At 39.4% G+C, this 21,329-nt stretch overlaps 1 protein-coding gene and 1 long non-coding RNA gene across 3 annotated transcripts in view, besides 1 other annotated feature; one reads left to right on the top strand and one right to left on the bottom strand.

The window, feature by feature from the left end:
- MYHAS (myosin heavy chain gene cluster antisense RNA) overlaps positions 1-21,329 on the bottom strand; it is a 242,409-nt gene that overhangs the window by 62,618 nt on the left and 158,462 nt on the right. The window lies entirely within an intron of this gene.
- MYH2 (myosin heavy chain 2) overlaps positions 13,265-21,329 on the top strand; it is a 28,511-nt gene continuing 20,446 nt past the window's right edge. Inside the window, exons 1-10 of one of the 2 annotated variants that reach the window (NM_017534.6) lie at positions 13,265-13,287; positions 13,506-13,548; positions 14,983-15,206; positions 15,305-15,448; positions 17,421-17,577; positions 18,796-18,823; positions 18,907-19,021; positions 19,120-19,212; positions 19,762-19,825; positions 19,950-20,048. In NM_017534.6, the coding sequence (NP_060004.3) occupies positions 15,003-15,206; positions 15,305-15,448; positions 17,421-17,577; positions 18,796-18,823; positions 18,907-19,021; positions 19,120-19,212; positions 19,762-19,825; positions 19,950-20,048 (904 nt within the window). In that variant the 5' untranslated portion in view covers positions 13,265-13,287; positions 13,506-13,548; positions 14,983-15,002. Of the gene's footprint in view, positions 13,365-13,505; positions 13,549-14,982; positions 15,207-15,304; positions 15,449-17,420; positions 17,578-18,795; positions 18,824-18,906; positions 19,022-19,119; positions 19,213-19,761; positions 19,826-19,949; positions 20,049-21,329 lie in introns of both variants that reach the window. The other variant, NM_001100112.2, reaches the window with a different exon arrangement.
- Positions 18,785-19,984: an enhancer, noted in NCBI's record as "CDK7 strongly-dependent group 2 enhancer chr17:10446256-10447455 (GRCh37/hg19 assembly coordinates)". NCBI's record gives its function as "activates an origin of replication core promoter dependent on BRD2, BRD4, P300/CBP, MED14 and CDK7 cofactors, with strong dependence on CDK7, by STARR-seq in HCT116 cells {active_cell/tissue: HCT116}" and the evidence as "EXISTENCE:reporter gene assay evidence [ECO:0000049][PMID:35650434]".

Below are 21,329 nucleotides of genomic sequence, written 5' to 3'. Positions count from 1 at the left end.
ATTGCCTAATGACATATTTATCAGAATGTATCCCCATTGTTAAGTGATGCATGTCTGTATATGTATATATATACTTATACATATATAGTGTTTAGTGTTATGCTGATAGAGTGCTACTATATATATATATATATATATATATATATATGCTGTTATACATACACACATGCATAGGTATATATAGTTTTTCCACTTATGAAACCCTTTGTCTTTCGCTGTTTCATGTTATAACAGTATATCCCAGATTGGATAATTTATGAATAAGAGAAATTTATTTTTCACAGTTCTAGAGGCTGTGAAGTTCAATATCAAAGCACTAGCATCTACTGAAAATCTTCTTGCTTGTCATTCCATTGTGGAAGACAGAACTGGAGGAAATCAGGAGAGAAGAAGGGAAGAAGATGTCCAACTTATCTCATTCTTTTATTAGGAACCCACTCTTGCAATAACAGCTGAATCCATTCATGAAGGAAGGGCCCTCGTGTCCTAATCACCTCTTAAATATCCCACTTCTCAATCCTGTTGCATTGGGAATTAAGTTTCCAATACATGAACTTTGGAGGACACAGTCAAATCACAGCACCCTTATACACAATTTTTTATTTGATCTGTAAGCAGGACAGGTGTTACAATTCTGACCTTACATATAGGGCATTGGAAGCTTGGAGAGTTTCATGATTTAGCAATTCTCTCACCAGGTCTCATGGCTGTCCCAGGTGGGTGGCTAGGCATCTCACCACCAGAAGATACATCTCCCAGAACACATGAGAAAGAACCTTGCAGCTTATTTAGAAAAACTCATAGAAAAGACCATCTCATCTCAGCAATGGGAAGAAAAAGTTTGAAAAACATGGTTCTAAAAATATTTATTTAGTGACTATATAAATATAACATATATATTTATACATACACATAAAAACTTTTTGTTAGAATTATTGAAGCCTAAAATAATAAGAATGGAATTTAAAATTACTTCAACTGACTAACCAATAATACTCGTAAGGTAAATAAGTCTTGCCTTGTGTTTTGAAGTTATTCTCAGTCACTTTAATTTTACTTGTAAACCCAAGGAGGAAATTCCTTTAGCTGTGCTCCTAATTTTAAAAGTCCTTTAATAATGCTTGGGTAAATTGGAGCTATATTTGGAAGTCATGGTGAGTTAATTATCACAAGGTTGTTGGGTAAAATTATCCTCTTATGAAAAGTTAGTTTACCACTTTGAGGGAGCTAACACAGCTTTCTACAAAAATAACAATAAGAAAATAAATTTAATGTAACATGTATAGTTTCTCATAAAAATATTTGTAATTTCAAGGTTATAAGCGAGCAGTCCTTGGAATTAGTAAAATATATTTTTCAATATTACGGGACATTTTTTGGCTTATCTTAAATAACAGACTTAGAGAGAAATTAAACTTCAGGTGAGGCAATACAGAGTTAAGTATCACGATGGAGGGGCAGCAGAAACTGTCAAAAGTTAAGCAATGTGGTTAAAAGCACACAGCAGCGAGTTTCAGAACCAAGACTTGAACCCCGCAGATCCATGTGAATCCAGAGCATAGGTCCTCATCAGAGAACATGAAAATAGATGCCTCAGAGTGGGATCTAATTTTTTTTTTTTTTTTTTTTGAGATGGAGTGTCGCTCTGTCGCCCAGGCTGGAATGCAGTGGCACGATCTTGGCTGACTGCAATCTCCGCCTCCTGGATTCAAGTTATTCTCCTGCTTCAGCCTCTGGAGTAGCTGGGACTACAGGCGCGTGCCACCAGGTCCGGCTAATTTTTGTATTTTTAGTAGAGACGGGGTTTCACCGTATTGGTCAGGCTGGTCTTGAACTCCTGACCTCATGATCTGCCTGCCTTGGCCTCCCAAAGTGCTGGGATTACAGGCGTGAGCCACCGCGCCCGGCGGGATCTAATATTTTCAAAGTAGTAATTCATGTGTTTAACTTTGTGTTTCCTTCCCCAGCATTCCATTTAAGAAATATTGATTGTGTCCACCAGCACCAGGAAATACCCTCAGTGCCAGTCAGATGTGGTGGTAAATGAGATTTCCTTGACTTATGTTCTAGTGAGGAGGGAAGACAACAAATTCACAAATAAGCAAACAGATAAATAAAGAAAAACATTGGAAAGGGCTCTGTCGAGTACTAAAGAGGATAAAGAGGGACTGTAGTTATTTGTATTCCCTGCTCTCATTTCTCTTCTGTGTTGTGAGCTCTTTGAGAGAAGGAACACTTTTCAGCATTCTCTGTTTTGTCTTACACCACAATTTGCACGTAGTAGAATCAATGCATCAATGACACGCTATTTAAAGAGCAAAGTACACTATCTGACAACTTGCTATTTGAATATACATAATGGTCTTTTGGAAATCGTAGTCTGCTGTAGCTTTAGTTTATTCTACCTATATTTTGAAGGTGAAACGCAGAAGAATTTTCTTCCTTTATTCTGTAGAGTATAAGAGCTCATATTGTCCTTCCTGTAGTCAAGAAGATCAGAAAACCCCAAAGAGCTCAACGCGGCAAGTGCTCCTGATAGAACAAAAAAATGCAGGCCGGGCGGGGTGGCTCACGTCTGTAATCCCAGCACTTTGGGAGGCCAAGGTGGGTGGATCCTCTGAGGTCAGGAGTTTGAGACCAGGCTGGCCAACATGGTGAAACCCTGTCTCTAGTAATAATACAAATAATACAGGTGGTGGGCGCCTGTAATTCCAGGTACTCAGGAGGCTGAGGCAAGAGAATTGCTTGAACCCAGGAGGTGGAGGTTGCAATGAGCTGAGATCGTGCCACTGCATTCCAGCCTGGCCAACAAGAGTGAAACTCTGTCAAAAAGAGAAAAAAAAAAGCAAAGTTTCCTTTAATTTGGTGAAGGCATTTAGGTTTCTAAACGCTGACCTTTTTGCTTGTTTTTCAAAACTCTCTCATAAGCCAAAACACTAGTTGGAGCTACTAGATGAACAACAAGTGCATCATTTGTTAAATAATTGATGTCTTGCAATAAATGGCACCTTCAAAGGGAATATTTATCTTTCAAAGGACTTGTATCTAATTTCTATAAAAGTCAGCAGACACTGAAAAATATAGTTGCACAATACGTAGGCCTCACAAATTGCATTTCTTTCTTTTATTCAACAAATAGTTTCTAGTCCAGACCATCTGTCAGGCACTAAGACAGGCCCTTGAGGTATAACGGTGAGCAAAATTGGACCCTACCTTTGACCTCATGGAATTTACCAGGTAATGGTACTTTTTCCATGAAGTTTTCTGAATTCCGCTCCATTTCTTCAGAATCAGAGTCCTTAGGGCAGTGATTCTGAAATTTTAGTGCATTCCAAAATCATAGACTGTGGGGCCCTACCCCCAGAGTTTCTGATTGTGTTGGTTGTAGGTAGGGCTTGATAAGTTGCATTTCTAAGAAATTCTCAGGCGATACTGATGCTGCTGGTCTGGGGATCACACTTAATGAACCACTGGCCTGGGAAATAGAACCCAAGCATCTGCAGGTTATTCTGATGTGTGTTCAGGGTTGAGAACCACTGGAATACCAGGTTCCCATCAGTATGCTGGTTGCAGCTGAGGCAGGGAATTTCAAAAGAAGCAGAAGTCCAGTCCCTGCTTCCAAGAAACCTACACCGATAAAGGAGAGATGAAACACAACGTTGAAATGTTATGAACAATCGAAGCAGCTTGCTGGGTGTTATTATTATATGGACACAAAGGCTTCAGAAATGTGGAGTCTCAGTGGGGATTGTAATGGGTGGAGAAATCTGCTGGTTCTTGAAAAGTGAGCAGCCTTTGGACTGGGAAAATATGAAGTTATTAAGAAACAATTAACCTGCAGTTCATTTCCTTCAAATATGATGTGGGAAACAAACCCAAGTACTAGTAGTAGTGCTTGTGACTTTGTCGCTTTATCAGTCACGGTTCTCCAGAGAAACAGAAACAACTGAATATATGTGTGTGTGTGTGTGTGTATCTATATCTATATCTCCTTGGCCCCGTCAATTTGACGCATTAAATTAACCATCACAGTCACCAAGACAGATATTCATATCATATTTCAGTAGTTGTAAATATTTTATTTTATTTTTTTGATAGAGCCTTGCTCTGTTGCCTAGGCTGGAGTACAGTGGCATGATCTCAGCTCACAGCAGCCTGTGCCTCCTGGGTTTAAGCGATTCTCCTGCCTCAGCCTCCCAAGTAGCTGAGATTACAGGTGCCCACCACCATGCCCGGCTAATTTTTGTATTTCTAGTAAAGACAGGATTTTACCATGTTGGCCAGGCTGATCTTCAACTCCTGACCTCAAGTGATCCACCCACCTTGGCTTCCCAAAGTGCTGGGATTACAGGCGTGCCCAGCCAGTAGTTGTAGATATTTAAAAATATTATTTATAGGCATCAACACTTTGAAACTATAATACAGTCATGCACCAAGCAATGGCACTTCAGTCAGCTGATAAAAACTTTCTGTTCCTAAGTTTTTGCTTGCGGGACCTGAGTAGCTCAGCCAACATCACGCGATTCAATTGAAGATAATTTCCAGAAATTCAGTTTCTTTATTCCACTTATTGATTTTCCTGAATGCCAAGTTAGAATCGTTTGCTTTGGTAAGATCTTAGCAGGGAGCACTTATCTATCTAAACACCCAGCTACCCCCTGATGAGTCTGAATCATCCAAGAACAGTAAGTAGCTCCACCGTTCCTGCCTTTCTCCTAATTGCAAAGGGCACTTTTAGTTAAGTACATGCATGAATGCTAGGCACACATAAACACACAGTGCACCCACATGAAGTACATGCATGAATGCTGGGCACACATAAACACACAGTGCACCCACATGTACACACGCCAGCATCTGATCTTTGTTTCATCCATTCTTCCCATAATTTTTACTTTGAAGACTGTTCAAGATTGGCCAGCTAATATTTTCCTACAAGGATATGATATATCTTGGGGGTTTCCAATGATCATTTTTGTTCTTATTGCTCAAAGAAGAAATAATTTAGAACATTAAGCTAGAGTCTTCCACAGGGCAATCAAAACAAAGCAAATGCCTGTGTTCATGAAGGTTTATAAAAGGGGCAAACGATGAGAAAATCCATGAAAATGTCTGCCATCATGTTTTCCAAATAGACCAGAAGAACAACTGGGTCTCCAGCATTTGGCTTCCTGAAGCTTGGCCTTTGGCCGCATTCCTTTTGAAGTGCTTCTTGAGACATGCCAAGTAGCAGCTTCTGCACAGGACTAGTACTTTGGATGACATTACCATCCTTTCCTTCAAAAAAAAAAAATTCTTCCTCAAGATCTAAAAATACTCTTCAGCCTTGGAACACAGCCTTGTTTTAATCAACTCCTGTCCACTGGACCAGTTGCTTGACCTGGGACAAGCCAAAACCACAAAGAAAAAGCAGCAGTTTTGAGGAAGTTGATCCACATTTGGGTTTCTTTAAAATGTCCAGCTCACAGAATAGCAAAAATCTTTCCTCCCTCAACCATGAGAATTCCATTCCCACCCTAATTCATACTTCTATTTTTCTTTTCTCTTTTGAGATTTGGGTTTGCATTTGTTTGTTTGTTTGTGGGGGCATAATTTTGGCAGGACAAGATGAAAATTATTTTAATCCAGTTTTTATTCTTGCAACTGAGAGAAGGAAAACAGAATTGGGTTAATTGAATACTTTTTCCATTCCTAAAAATTGACTTTAAAAAGCACCATAGTCAAGTAAAATTAAAATTCCTCAAAAAATATTGGTAGATTTTATTTTAAAGTAAGCATGAGATAATTTTGGTCCTCAATGATACAGCATTCTAAATTCATGGAAGTGTTGTTTTGGCTAACAGCCCCATATTCATGGGTTAACTTTTAATTTTAATTTTTGTAGAGATTGGGGTCTCATTATGTTGCCCAGGCTGGTCTTGAACTCCTGGACTCAAACAATCCTCCCACCTTGGTCTTCCAGAGTGCTGGGATTACAGATGTCAGTCACCGTGCCCAAGCCAAGAGGGTTAAATATTTTATTCAAGTCAAACCCTGGTGCCAAGCATTCAAGGCTCGTTGTTGTCACAAGCTGAGTGGGCTTGGCAGGGCAGGAAAAACAACCCATAACTGTTTCCAGCTTCTACAGGCATCAGCAGGAGGAAGGACGTTGGTCACAGAAGTAGGAGAGGGGTTAAGTGCCCTGACTAATAGGATCAAGTATGGTCAAGGGTGGGAGATCATGAGCAAAAGGAGGCCAAAGGAGGAGGCCAAAGTGGACGTGTGGATATGGGGGATGGAAAACTAATCTGAGAGTGTAGAACCGAGTGAAAAATAAGGAAATAAGGGGTCTGTGGTCTGAGAACAAAGATAAAAAGAAGCTGCTCTGGTCAGCCTCATTTGGAGTTCTGGGCCAGAACATTCCTTCTTAATGAGTGAGGCCTGACAACAGCTTCTGATGCATCTGGTTCCAACTGTCTCCCTAGACTTCTTCCTTACACTTATGTTAGACTCCAGTCAGACAAGACTGCTCTCTCCTCCTCAAACAGACTTCAAATTTTTTTCCTTCCACTTCAGTTCTTTCAGTTTCTGTTCTTGCACCTAGAACTTCTTTCTTCCTGGATCTCCATCTGTTAAATCCTACCCATTCCTTCATGGACCATCTCAGATGACACTTCTACAAGGCCTTCCCTGATCCTTCAACAAAATGCTACTTCTTCGTTAAAGAAATCTGCCTATACTCTCACAGTCAGTGTGCTAATTTTGAAGAGACTGAGCAAACAGGATAGCAGAGGGTTTGTGGGGAATGCCCTCTCCTTTGGGGATTTACACTTAACATTTTCTACATCCTGGAATAACTATTGGCATATTTATCATTTTATCTTCCTCACAATATTGTAAGAAGCCTGAGTAAGGCTAGCAGTTTATGAATGCACATCCTAATAGTCAACCTAAAGGCGTTAGAGCAATTCTGGAGTGAACAGTACTCAGGGTTAAATATATTAGGCGTTAAAATCAATGGAGAATGGGGCAAGAAATCTTTGAGCTCCACCCTGATTAGGTAAGCCGTATAATAACCCTTTAGATCATGGTTTCTTAGAAAACAAAGAAGAGAAGAGAATTTATCTGTGCTATCCGTACTTCAGAGCTGTTGAAAGAGGCTCACTTTACAGGCTATAAAATGCCAGGTAAGTAGTGGCATTATCAGAATAACGCTTATTCCTTTGTCATCCAACCAACACGTATTGATGCCTAATATTTGACAGGCATGAGGACTATAGAGTTTATATACATACTGATTGTGCCTCTTAATTGCATAATCAAATTAACCTAATGAAAGATGGTAAGCAAATGTTGAAATGTGCAGAAATGAATGCATTTTTTTCTACACTCACTAGTAAGAAATCATTTCTCTTAACTTTCATTCTTTTGTTGTGCTTTTTCCAAATTTCTAGAATATCCATGTACCAATTTTACTTTTGTGGATAGAAAAACAAACAAACGTTAATTTAGTCTTAAGGGAGTTAGTTTTGCTTCTCCCAAATTTTTCCACGAAGGATCACCAAACTCCCTTATTTACATGCAGATTATGTGTTTTGTGCTGGTGGAACTGCTGAGAGCTAGGCCCATCTTCCTCTCTCCTGAGCACTTAATAGAATGCTTTACATACAGCAAGTCTTTGGATTCTTGGATTTTGATATAGCACCCCCTCCAGCAACTTCCTGTACAATTCTACCCATGAGTGCAAACAGATACAAATTTTCCTTTTTCCACTTATTTCAAATTAGGACTAAATAATGTATTCTTTGAAAGCTAAATCTGGAACTAAAAAGAGTAATGTAATATATGATAAAAATTATATTTGTAATTTATATATAAATACATTTAAATAAGTACATAAATTTGAATATATGTATATATTTTTATTCAAATTATAAGTGGCTCTGAATTATGTCTCTCAATAACTTCAAATTATGAGCTCTCCTACAGGCCTCTTACTAGCCAATTTTTTTCTTTATAAAGCAAATTTTCAGAAAGTTCTATGACTAGACATTTGGAAGTAGAGCTCTCTATCGATGGGGCTTTATACGTGTGGGTTACTGGTGCAAAGGTACCAAGTTTGAAACAGAAAACCAATGCATTCCTAGAAAACAATATCAACACTCATTAACAATGTGGATTGATGGGCCTGGAGTTTAGTCCATGGAAAAAACACAGAAGCAGTCACTGGGAAACTTTCATCTTGAGTCCTGACTCTTCTAGGGCTTAATCTGGCATCTCTTTAATTCTTCTTTTAATCCCATCTGTTCTTTTCTTCCAATGTTTAAGGGAGATCCTGTTTTGGCAAATCATCACTTTTAATTTTTAAAGCAATAATACATGCACCCAGCATAAAATTTTGAAAATACAAAAATGGTATGGTATGAAACGTCAGTCTCCCCTCCACCAAGTTACCTAACATTCAGTTCCCCGCTCCAAAGATCACCTGTTAACCAATTTCTTGATCAGTTATCTACTTCCATCACCAACTCCCTAGCCTGGGCCCTCATTTCTTCATATCTTTCTTTTTTTTTTTTGAGACGGATCTCGCTCTGTCACCAGGCTGGAGTGCAATGGCGCCATCTTGGTTCACTGCAACCTCCACCCCCTGGGTTCAAAAGTGATTCTCAAAGAAGACATTTATGCAGCCAAAAAACACATGAAAAAATGCTCATCATCACTGGCCATCAGAGAAATGCAAATCAAAACCACAATGAGATACCATCTCACACCAGTTAGAATGGCGATCATTAAAAAGTCAGGAAACAACAGGTGCTGGAGAGGATGTGGAGAAATAGGAACACTTTTACACTGTTGGTGGGACTGTAAACTAGTTCAACCATTGTGGAAGTCAGTGTGGTGATTCCTCAGGGATCTAGAACTAGAAATACCATTTGACCCAGCCATCCCATTACTGGGTATATACCCAAAGGATTATAAATCATGCTGCTATAAAGACACATGCACACGTATGTTTATTGCGGCACTATTCACAATAGCAAAGACTTGGAACCAACCCAAATGTCCAACAATGATAGACTGGATTAAGAAAATGTGGCACATATACACCATGGAATACTATGCAGCCATAAAAAATGTAGAGTTCATGTCCTTTGTAGGGACATGGATGAAGCTGGAAACCATCATTCTCAGCAAACTATCGCAAGGACAAAAAACCAAACACCGCATGTTCTCACTCATAGGTGGGAATTGGACAATGAGAACACATGGACACAGGAAGGGGAACATCACACTCCAGGGACTGTTGTGGGGTGGGGGAGTGGGGAGGGATAGCATTAGGAGATATACCTAATGCTAAATGACGAGTTAATGGGTGCGGCACACCAACATGGCACATGTATACATATGTAACAAACCTGCATGTTGTGCACATGTACCCTAAAATTTAAAGTATAATAATAATAAAATTTTTAAAAAATTAAAAAAAAAAAGTGATTCTCCTGCCTCAGCCTTCCGAATAGCTGGGATTACAGGCGCCAGGGATCACACCCGGCTCATTTTTGTATTTTTAGTAGATACGGGGTTTCACCATGTTGGCCAGGCTGGTCTCAAACTCCTGACCTCAGGTGATCCACCCATCTCAATCTCCCAAAGTGCTGGGATTACACGTGTGAGCCACCACGACCAGCCTCTTCTTACACCACACCTTTCTTCATGTAACAGCTAATGCCAGTTTGTCTCTCTGCGCAGGCCAAACTGCCTTTTCTCTATCTGATGGAATAATTGAGAAAATGTCTGAATAAGAGCTGAGCTGGATTTTGATATAATGAAACAATAATATGAAAGAGAGGAGGGCATTCCATAGTGGCAGTGGGGAGTTTACCCGAGAGCCTGCCGTATAGTCATGCTGTGCAAATGTTTATTGAGTGACTGAAATGATCAAGGGAGCATGTCTTGTTATAGAGATCAGAAAGAAAACTAGTTTCACTTCTGCAGAGACTTCAGAATAAGAACTAACAAACTGTGGGGGGCAATAGTAATCACAATTGTTAATATCAGTTGAATGAGTGATGGGTACCAGGCACTGTTTTCAGCTTCTAAGCACTTTCGTGTCTTGTTTACTCCTCACAAACCCCTATGAGGTAGCACTTATCCCTTTTATAGAGCAGGAAGCTGAGTCTTGAGAAGGTTTAGTAAATTTCCAAGGATATCCAGCTGGTATGCAGCCAAAAGTTAAATCCAGGTCCCAATTTCAGTTATTGGGGACAAGAATGATTAGGATAAAGAAACCCAGGGCATCTGAGAATTTATAAACTAGAATTTCAGAGCACTTTCTACATGTCAGCACTATCCTAAGTGTTGATGAGGATCAAGTAGATGCAGAAAATATGGATCCTTTTCTGCAAAGGATTTACACACTGTAACTTTTAAAGGCCGCCGTCACGTTGTTCTGAAGGTGACTTGAGCCATCTATTAGTGCTCTCCCGATTTCTCAGATTGTAACCTTCCTGAAGACCAGATCAGTGGCTGCTACTCTCTCTGAATCTCCTTGCATGGCATAGACAATGCAAGGAGATTCAGAGAGAGTATCAGCACTCTTAAATTAGCTCATTCCCAAGCTGTCACCACACCAAAATGTGACAGATAGTCCCAGGTGTGAGCAATGCAAAGTAGAAAGCCTCTGACTTATTGCAGCAGTGGTAAAAATACAATGAAATCAAGAAAAGGACACAAAGTGAATGTATGTCTTTGACCTGTTTACATAGTGGAAAAGATGATCCCGAATGACATATTCCTTAAGCTCTTGTTCTCAGAGAACATTTAACAGTCACAGATCCTGAGCCAAGTGGCACGGGAACAATTAAGGTGTGTCTCTTAATTACTGGGAACAAGGCTTTGCATTTTCTTCTTTATAGTCAAAAACAATGTATTAGACAGCGGCTACCTATAGAACACAGTATTCACTGAAGGAGTTTACCAAATGAGGAAACAGAATATAGAACCATGGATTGACTTAAAATTGAAGATCAGGCTGGGCGCGGTAGCTCACACCAGTAATCCCAGAACTTTGGGAGGCCGAGGCGGGTGTATCACAAGGTCAGGAGATTGAGACCATCCTGGCTAACATGGTGAAACCCCATCTCTACTAAAAATACAAAAAAATTAGCTGGGCGTGGTGGCATGTGCCTGTAGTCCCACCTACTTGGGAGGCTGAGGCAGGAGAATTGCTTGAACCCGGGAGGCGGAGGTTGCAGTGAGCCGGGATCATGCCACTGCATTCCAGCCTGGGTGACAGAGTGAGACTCCATCTCAAAAAAAAAAAAAAAAGTGAAGATCATTTTGTAAATAACATAAAATAAGAACTATTTAATAAAACATAAGGAAAATGCCCATTGGCAGCAGAGATGGAACAAGAGAATATTAAACTATTGCTGTGGGCACTAAAAATGGCTGTTTAGTTTGGAAAAACAGCTCAACAGCTCACCTTAAAACAGAGCTTCCCAACCAGTGTATCTTGGCATCAAAAAGGTAACTGATGTGCCATAAAATGTTGATCTCTTCAGTCTCAGAATGGCTGGATGGGGAGGGGGACCTTGGGAGGTGGCTCCTAGCTGGGAGAAGGCTGACTAAGGGTTCCTCAGAGTGTTGACTGGGCTGCATTCGAGTCTGACAGCATAACCTATGATTCCTACAGGAGGCAAGCACAATGGTGGTATTTGCCATGTGCTGGATGGAACCAAGAAGGACTTCAGCAGCCAGCTGAGAATGTAATGCTGTCTTCTGCAGTCAAGAGACCCCTGGAATTGCTGGGAGGGTTGGTGTTCCAGGATGCCTGGGACAAGGCATGCAGCCCAGAGAGCATCCAGCCAGAGTAAAGGTGCCAGAAGGCTAAGTAGGTTGTACTGGAAGAGGTAGCCCACAGTAATAGCTCCAAACCTTAGACTTTGAATAGATCAGGTACTTGTGTGTATTTGTGACTGGTGTGCCCTTTGACCAATGCTGATGACTCCTTTAACCCATGAAGTTTTTGAAGATTAGAGCTTCATTATCCTTTGAAATATTTGATATGAAAGAGAGAGTTTAAATGGATTAAAAACTTATTTTCACTGTACGAGAATATTCAACATTATATTTTTCAATGAAGGAGAAAGAAGAACTGGTGAATTTTTAAAATACTCCAACAGTTGTAAATTACTTGGTTTTCCATTTTCATCCCTCCTTCTTGGACAAAAATCCCCGCTATGGTAATTATCAAGAACACAGATACTGTTTGTATCATTTTTGAAAATTTGATCTGGAAATTTGTGTCATATTTCAAGAATAAAGTCAGAAACAAACAAGTTTTATTTGTAGGATATAGCTCAAATTTTTCCTTAGGATTTTCAAGAAGATATTATTTGTAAGTTTCCGACATATTCAGTATTTAATATTTTCCTTAATGCTATGTGTATCATAGTTATTATATTTATATTACATAAAGGAATGTAAAAAAATTAAAAATATTCTCCCCAAGCCCTTTACAGATATAGACAAATCCCTTCCACATTACTCTAGCATGCTACACTAATATTGTCATTTTTTTCTCAGCGGGCTATGACACGAAAAAATGTTGAAAAGTACTCTCTAAAAACACCTCTGCTACTAGAAAATATTCAACCTTTTTTATTTCAGGCAAGTCAAATGGGTAGGGGGACAGGAAATGGTGTGCTAAGTAGAGGGAACAACTTTGGCAAAAGCAAAAAGGTGAGCGAGCAAGGAAATTCCTGAAACTACAGGAATATTGGAATAACAGAGAGGACCTTCTGTCTCTTTAAGTTGTTGAAGGCACATCGCTTAATTTTGCAGGGCTGGAAAGAAAGGACCAACAGGTAAAAATTAACTGTCACAAAATTAAAATACATATTTGTATTTTATTTATGTGACTTAACACGTGAAATATGCGAAAGTGATGCGAGGCAAGCCCGAATGCTGTGCCCAGCAAAGCCAAAAAGAAGTTCCGAGGGAAGCCAGGTATCCTGGCTGCCCAGCCACTGCCTTTATCCACCAGCTTGACTCTTTCAGATCATCTTCTCAAATTATCCATAGGAGATTTATCCACATACTCAATAAGAAAAATATTTCTAATTATATCCAACCATTCTTAATATGAATGAGAATTATGCGGGGACGCTAGATTGCCAAGAGGTATTTTGCCAAACAATTCCTTTTGACTTAAGAAAGAAGAGGCAGCTGCATTGTTTCCATAGCTATCCATATAAAAGAGCCCTTGGAATGAGGCTGACTCGTCCTGCTTTAAAAAGCTCCAAGGTAAGTGGGAGCAGGACGGGCCTTTCAAGAGGGACACTGGTCACACCGCCCAGTGTCAGCAGCAGCTGCTAGTTCTGGTACTGCTCCTTCTGGAACTGCACGTTTTACCTCTATGAATTTTGTTACTTCTGTTTACAATAGCAAGCCATGCCATAAATGGGATTTTTTCCCCCTCTTTTTGGTCAACTAATCAAGTGCTTTTCCCTTTTCTTTTATAGAACTGTCTCACTCCCAGGCTACATCTTCTCACTTGCTAACAAGGTAAGATTTGGACTAACCAGTTCCTGGAGGAGAATGCAAGAGGCTCTGGGATGGATTTCTGTCACTTAGCAACCTTTCAGAAAGTGCTTGTCTCAGTAAATACCCTTTAACAACTGTGCTTCAGGAAAGCGGTGAGAAAGGGAGGACTGTCCTTTCAGGACAATGCACACATCCTCATTTACGGCTCAAGCATTGGTGGGGTGACATTTGAGCAGGGGAATCGCTTTGAATAAATATATTGTCTGTGCAGGAAAAAAAGAGTCTACCCTCAGATTCCCTGGCTAAAAATCTCAAATTTGATAAAAATGTATCCTGCTGTTAGAATTCATTTAGTAAACATAATGTCCAACAATGTAAAATGGAAGTAAGACAATCCTTTCTTTAAACTTCTTAAAGCCCTTGTAAAAAGTCACCTTACACAATGCCGAGTGCTGTGGCATTTTTCTTATATATAATAGAGGTATTAATCTGCCCTCCCACTACTTACTGCATTTCTAAAGGGAGAGACTAGAAGAGACGATTCAAATGAGTTTCAAGTAATTTGATCATGTAATGACTGCGGTAGAATTATTTGCCAAACCTTTCATTCTACTGATACCACTGGCAACCTACAGATCACATAGAACGGAGCAAACAGGGCCTGCATGCTTCAAAGGAAAATTTGGAATAGTAAAGGGAGCCCTTAGATGTAGAAGAATGAGGTTAACGTTGGCTACTGTTTTTATCCCTAATTAGTTTAAGGGGGTTAAACTGATGAACTGTATTTAATATGCAAAAAATTATGTCAGAGAAACTATACTAAGCACCTAACCTAAAAGAAAAAAAGGTAAACAAAATTATAATCTCCAATAAGCCACTGAACTTCAACAAATCTGGCTGAACAGGTAAAGGAGGAAATAAAGTTCTTCTACATTACATTCAAGACATGGAATTTTGTGACATGATAATTCATGACATCTCATATATAAATGGTGGCCTGAACAATTTCAAATTACTTTCTCAGTCATCATTTAAACCTCTTTTTCAAAGTATCTTCACATATATCATGGGCTGTGAATTTAGAAAGGCAGAATTTATAATCCCTATTCTAAAGATGGAGTCACTTAGGCTCAAAAACATCAAGTGACATACCCAAGGTCACAAGCTACTTGACAGCAGCACTGGACTGTAATTCAGTTCCCAATGAGAATGTGAGTCCTGGAGGATGAAATAAGACAGTGGATGCAAAGCCCTAAATACGGCATTGGGTACACAGAGACCACCTGATGCATTTTCGTTCTTGTGATTATGTTTGTCTCAGTAACTATAGTATGGTGAACAGTAGACCTGTCTAGTGGAATTTCCAACTGGGCCTATGAAATACAATAAATATTAAGATTTATTGGTATACATGGCAATCCAGACTCTCTAATGTGAAAGTTTTATCTCCTTTAGGACCTCTGAGTTCAGCAGCCATGAGTTCAGACTCAGAATTGGCTGTTTTTGGGGAGGCTGCTCCTTTCCTCCGAAAGTCTGAAAGGGAGCGCATTGAGGCCCAGAATAGGCCCTTTGATGCCAAAACATCTGTCTTTGTGGCGGAGCCCAAAGAATCCTTTGTCAAAGGGACCATCCAGAGCAGAGAAGGAGGAAAAGTGACGGTGAAGACTGAGGGAGGAGCGGTGAGTAGAATCCCAGGAGCTTGCCACATTTTATTGATTTTTGTTGTTGTTGTTTGGTCACTCAATTAATGTAAACGGTTATCTTTCCTGTTTACCAGACTCTGACAGTGAAGGATGATCAGGTCTTCCCCATGAACCCTCCCAAATATGACAAGATCGAGGATATGGCCATGATGACTCATCTGCATGAGCCTGCTGTGCTGTACAACCTCAAAGAACGTTATGCAGCCTGGATGATCTACGTGAGTGTCCCCTGCCAGTGCTCTGTATAATCATCCTCATGTACCCTACCATCCTGCTTCTTCCACTGAGCATAAATAGGTCACAGGTAGTGACCCATTTCACTTTCATTGCAGCATAACTAGTTAAAAGGCTTCATGATTGCTATCGTAAAGCACAGCTCAACAGCCAGCACTTCCTTGTTTTCCCATCCAAAGCTGGGGAAGGCCGCTGTCCATGTTGACTAGGTTTGCCCAGAAACCCTTCAATAGGCATTTGAGCAGTTACTACTTATATTTCAATCACAGGTAATTTTCCCCATTCCTTTTCCCCACTCCAGCCGCAGAATCATCCAGAGTGAAAAGATAAACATGTTTTAACACTTTAAACTATTTTAATTTTTTTTTGAGACAGAGTCTTGCTCTGTGTCCCAGGCTGGAGTGCAGTGGTGCGATCTCGGCTCACTGCAACCTCTGCCTCGTGGGTTCAAGCGATTCTTGTGCCTCAGCCTCCAGAGTAGCTGGGATTACAGGCATGTGCCACCATGCCCGGCTATTTTTTTTTTTTTCGTATTTTTTTTAGCAGAGACAGAGTTTCACTATGTTGCCCAGACTGGTCTCGAACTCCTGGGCTCAAATGATCCGCCTGCCTTGGCCTCCCAAAGTGCTGGGATTACAGGCATAAGCCATCATGCCTGGCCTACATTTTTTTTTTTTTTAAAAACAAATTTCACTCATTTTCAATCCCCTGAAATAACAGCAATTTGTATCTGTGTGTTCTGGTCCCTTCTATCTGGAATGTCACCTCCTCGATGAAACCTCTCCCACTTCCCCAAGCAGTGAGATGTTCTGTCCTTTCCTTTCTGTCCCTGCCTTAACACTAACCATGTTTCTCCTTGATCATTCATTTACATGACTGTCTCCTACATAGACTGGGGATTCCTCAAGGGACATCATCTCATTTATCTGGTCTCATTTATACTGTCTGGTAAAGGTCTGCACATAATAAACATGCAGTAAATATTTTTAAATCAAATTTATTATACTATATTCATATTTTTGCATAGTTTAGCCAGTGCTGTTATTTAGCTAGGCAACACCTATACAAGTGTACCTAGAGTTGATGGTCAGCATCCAGTTTAACTAGTTGGTGCTTGTCTTGAACCAATTGTCAAAGATTTTTTAAATCCCCCTATTGTAATCATGATGTATATATATATATATATATATATATATATATATCATTTCGTGTCCTGTTTCCTTATAACTTAAAAACGTTTTGTAAATATTTCCTGAGTGTTGCTGTATACTTTCATGTTTACTTTTTTAAATGCCTGCATCAAATTGTCTTAGAAGATTTACCATAGTTCACCTAACCATTCCCTTACTGTTGGCCACTTAGCTTATGTCCAAATTTATGTTCTCATAAATTTGAATTATCTTAATGCTGCAAAGAAAATATAAACCATTTCCATAAAACAATAAAAGTTTCATAGCACATGTGTTTAATAACATGTACTTCTTCTTCTGCTATGTAAAAATCACTGTGAAAAGCCCTGAGGAGAGCAATAAGAAAGCTGAATTGTAGTCACTTCCCTCAGGATTCTGCTATCACATTGTTGAACTTGCCAACTAGTTTTCAAGCTGATGCCTTGAAGAAATAAGAGTACTCACTTAAAGTGCTCCTTTTTGTTAAAATTCAATTAATTTCCAGACCAGCCTGGGCAACAAAGTGAGACTTTAGCTCTACAAAAAGCACGTACAAAATTAGCTGGGCATGGTGATGCATGCCTGTAGTACCAGCTACTTGGAAGGGTGAGGTGGGAGGATTGCTTGAGCCCGGGAGGTTGGGGCTGCAGTGAGCTGAGGTAGCACCACTGCACTCCAGCCTGGGTGACAGAGCAAGACCCTGTCTCAAAAAAACATTCAATTAATAAGTTAATTTCACAAATAACAGGAAAGGTCTTTGGGTACTTATTCTTTTTCCTTCTCATAGACCTATTCAGGTCTCTTCTGTGTCACTGTCAACCCCTACAAGTGGCTGCCTGTGTATAAGCCCGAGGTGGTGACAGCCTACCGAGGCAAAAAGCGCCAGGAGGCCCCGCCCCACATCTTCTCCATCTCTGACAACGCCTATCAGTTCATGCTGACTGGTGAGTGAGCCGAATGCTTTGCAAGTGCGTAAACCTTTAGAGCAGAACCATAGGAGAAAGAGACTCGAGGCAATCTCAACACATTCCTTGAGATCGTCCCTTTTAGTTGAGGCTGGTGTATTTATGAAGGAGAAGGTCCAGGAAGGGGAGAAAGGCTGATTTGTAATGCGTAATATTACATAATTGCTAATGATCTCTTAAATTTTGAAAAGTTCAACAGAGGCTGGCCATGGTTAGTTAGTATACTTTTGAATGACTCAGAAACTCAAATAAATATGAGCAAAAATACAAATATTTCTGTGTATGTATATATACACACACACACACACACTCATGCACGCACAATCACACATACAAACTGTGTCTCCGTTACTATGAGCCAAAAAATGGAAGAGTAAAACTTGTCTCTGTAGTTTCAGCCTCAGCATCCTAAATTGTGACAGATTAAACAGTCTCTCTATATGAAGGACGGCACAATGCTATCGCCCTTTGCCCAGAACCAACCTGAACAGGCTCCAGATTTAAGGTGTATTTGGTATTAAAACAGTTAGATGTTGAATCTGCTTCCTACAATATTGTCTTGGCTAGACCAATCTAAACTACTTGTGGCACCTTGAGAAGGGGCTTAGAGAATTCCTCTTCAGAGACAGTAAAACATCAAAACAAAATTTTACCTTTTCCTAAAAATATGACCAAAGCCGTATTTCTAAAACTATCACCTTTACTGTACTTACTCCTTTTCACACATTAAAAATATCTCTAATGCTCATTCTTCATTACGCCTTGCACCCACAATATATATGTCCCTAACTTAAATCATCAACTAAACCTAACCAAAGAGCCAAGTCTACTTTTGGTGTTTATTTAGTGATAGAGTATTAAAAAGAAAAAGTCTGGTGCTTCAGGAATACACAGCCACGTGGTCATCACTTATAGAGTGGCATTCAAACATTTTCCTTCATCTTAGAATTTTTTTCCTCGAAGGAAATATTTCTTGGAAGATTTGAATATAAAACCAATAAAAGTAGTGGTGTTCTGTTTAAATGGGTGGATGTGTGCTAAAGTTGGGGAGGGAGAAAGTGGTAGGTCTAAAGCCTGCCAAGCCCTAAAGGTTGCAAAGTCCAGACTGAATAATACTAAGTTCATTCCATTTTACTTTACTTATCATTTACAAATATGTAAGAAAACAGTATTAAATGTCTATAATTTCTTTTGTAGACCGAGAGAATCAGTCAATCCTGATCACGTAAGTAGATTTTATGCTTTCTTTACATGGCTGTGATAGCTGCTAGGTTTGAGACCACATCTGATTGAGTTTTGATTTGACAGTGGAGAATCTGGTGCAGGGAAGACTGTGAACACCAAGCGTGTCATCCAGTACTTTGCAACAATTGCAGTTACTGGTGAGAAGAAGAAGGAAGAAATTACTTCTGGCAAAATACAGGTGAGTCTGATTGTCACAGTCAGAATCCAGACTCTGTCGGGACTCTCAGGTAGGAAATTCCCAAGCCCCAGATGCAAGGACTGCTCTTGCCTTTGCAGGGGACTCTGGAAGATCAAATCATCAGTGCCAACCCCCTACTGGAGGCCTTTGGCAACGCCAAGACCGTGAGGAATGACAACTCCTCTCGCTTTGTAAGTCTCTTGGACACGCTAATAGATGCTGTTCACTGGTCAAAATTTATGAGATGTTTGTAATTACATTCTCTGAATCTTTTTCATTCCCATTCTATTACATCATTGTTCTTTCCTTTTCCTCTGAGCATGTAATAACATAGATCAAAGCCCCATCTTGAAGGATATATGGCCTTTTTCCTGAGTTCTTTCTTATCTGTCATGATCTACACTTACTCACAATTTTAAAATTTTTATTTTTAATTTACAAATAATAATTGTACTTACGAAATACAATGTGATGTTTTGATATATGTTATGTGTATATTATGGAATGATTAACATGCTAATTAACATATCCATTACTTCACATACTTAAGAAATATTTACAATTTTTAAATCAAAGATAAAACTCTTCTACTTATAAAATAGGAGATACACCTTTTTCTACCTGATGCAAATACTCTCTGAATTGATTTAATATTAAAGTACCAGCATCAAATGTTTGGAATTTCTCAAAGATTTAATATTATATAAAAAAAAGGTAGTAATATTAGCTTTTATTTCAAGGGTAAATTCATCAGAATCCACTTTGGCACTACTGGAAAACTGGCATCTGCTGATATTGAAACATGTAAGTGTTCAGATATCTTTAAAATCATTTCTGATTCATATGACCTAAAAAACTGACCAAAAATCAAATTCGCATGTCACATGAATTTTTACAATTTTCTTATGTGTTATTTGTTTCCTTCCAGATCTGCTAGAGAAGTCTAGAGTTGTTTTCCAGCTTAAGGCTGAGAGAAGTTATCATATTTTTTACCAGATTACATCGAATAAGAAACCAGAACTTATTGGTAAGAAATGTCATAATTCTTTTCCAGAATTACTGCATCAGTACCTATCAATGCACAGTCCAACCTAGTATTCTATGACTGAATTTTGTCAAGTTTATGTGCCTTTTTATTTTATAAATAGCTTTGTGAGTTTGGTAAAAATTTATATGTGCTCATTAGAAAAATTCAAAGGAAATCAAAAGGAAAACTGAAAATAACATCTCTAATTCCTACTACTATGAAATAACCACCATGAACACTTGGATGAATATCTCTCTAGTCATTTTCTGTATACATATCTCTACATATAGATACATACATACAATTTTCATAACTGAAATCATGGTTACATGCTCTCCTGTAATCTACTTTTTTACTGAGCAATTATGTATCATAGCTTTTTCCATGTCACTAAATATAGCTCCACATCATTATTTCCAATGGTTGCATAGTGTTCTATTCTAGAAATAAGCACAAATTACTTAACCATACCCTCTTTACAGATAGATTATTTCCAATTCTGGATTGTATATAATCAACACTATAGTGATACAACTTTTCCCATTATGTGATTATCCTCTTTGGATTACAATAGTTTTGTTTGTTTGTTTGTTTGTTTGTTGAGATGGAGTCTCACTTTGTCACCCAGGCCAGAGTGCAATGGCGAAATCTCAGCTCACAGCTACCTCCACCTCCCAGGTTCAAGCGATTCTCCCTGCCCCAGCCTCCCAAGTAGCTGGGATTACAGGCATGCGCCACCATGCCTGGCTAATATTTGTGTTTTAGTAGAGATGGGGTTTCACCATGTTGTCCAGGCTGGTCTCGAACTCCTGACCTCAGGTGATCTGGCCACCTTGGCCTCTCAAAGTGATGGGATTATGGGCATGAGACACTGTGCCCGGCCATTTTATTTTTTAATAAGGATTTATAAGAGCACCATGACATCAACTTCAAGGTGTTTGCGATGGTGCCTAATATCCTTTAAACGCCTCTCCAGTGCCCATCAGTCATCAACAAAGCATCATGTGATATCGGGGGAACCCACCCCCAATAATTCAATGTTATTTCACATAGGTTCTTTTCTATTTCCTAAGTGCTGGCTGGTCTGAGAAATAAAGGGAAAGAGTACAAAAGAGAGAAATTTTAAAGCTGGGTATCTGGGGGAGACATCACATGTCGGCAGATTCTGTGATGCCCCCCAAGCCACAAAACCAGCAAGTTTTTATTAGTGATTTTCAAAGGGGAGGGAGTGTACGAATAGGGTGTGGGTCACAGAGATCACATGCTTCACAAGGTAATAAA

The sequence above is a fragment of the Homo sapiens genome, chromosome 17 (assembly GCF_000001405.40).
Source record: "Homo sapiens chromosome 17, GRCh38.p14 Primary Assembly".
Lineage (NCBI taxonomy): Eukaryota > Metazoa > Chordata > Mammalia > Primates > Hominidae > Homo > Homo sapiens.
This window is presented reverse-complemented; position numbering and strand designations above follow the sequence as displayed.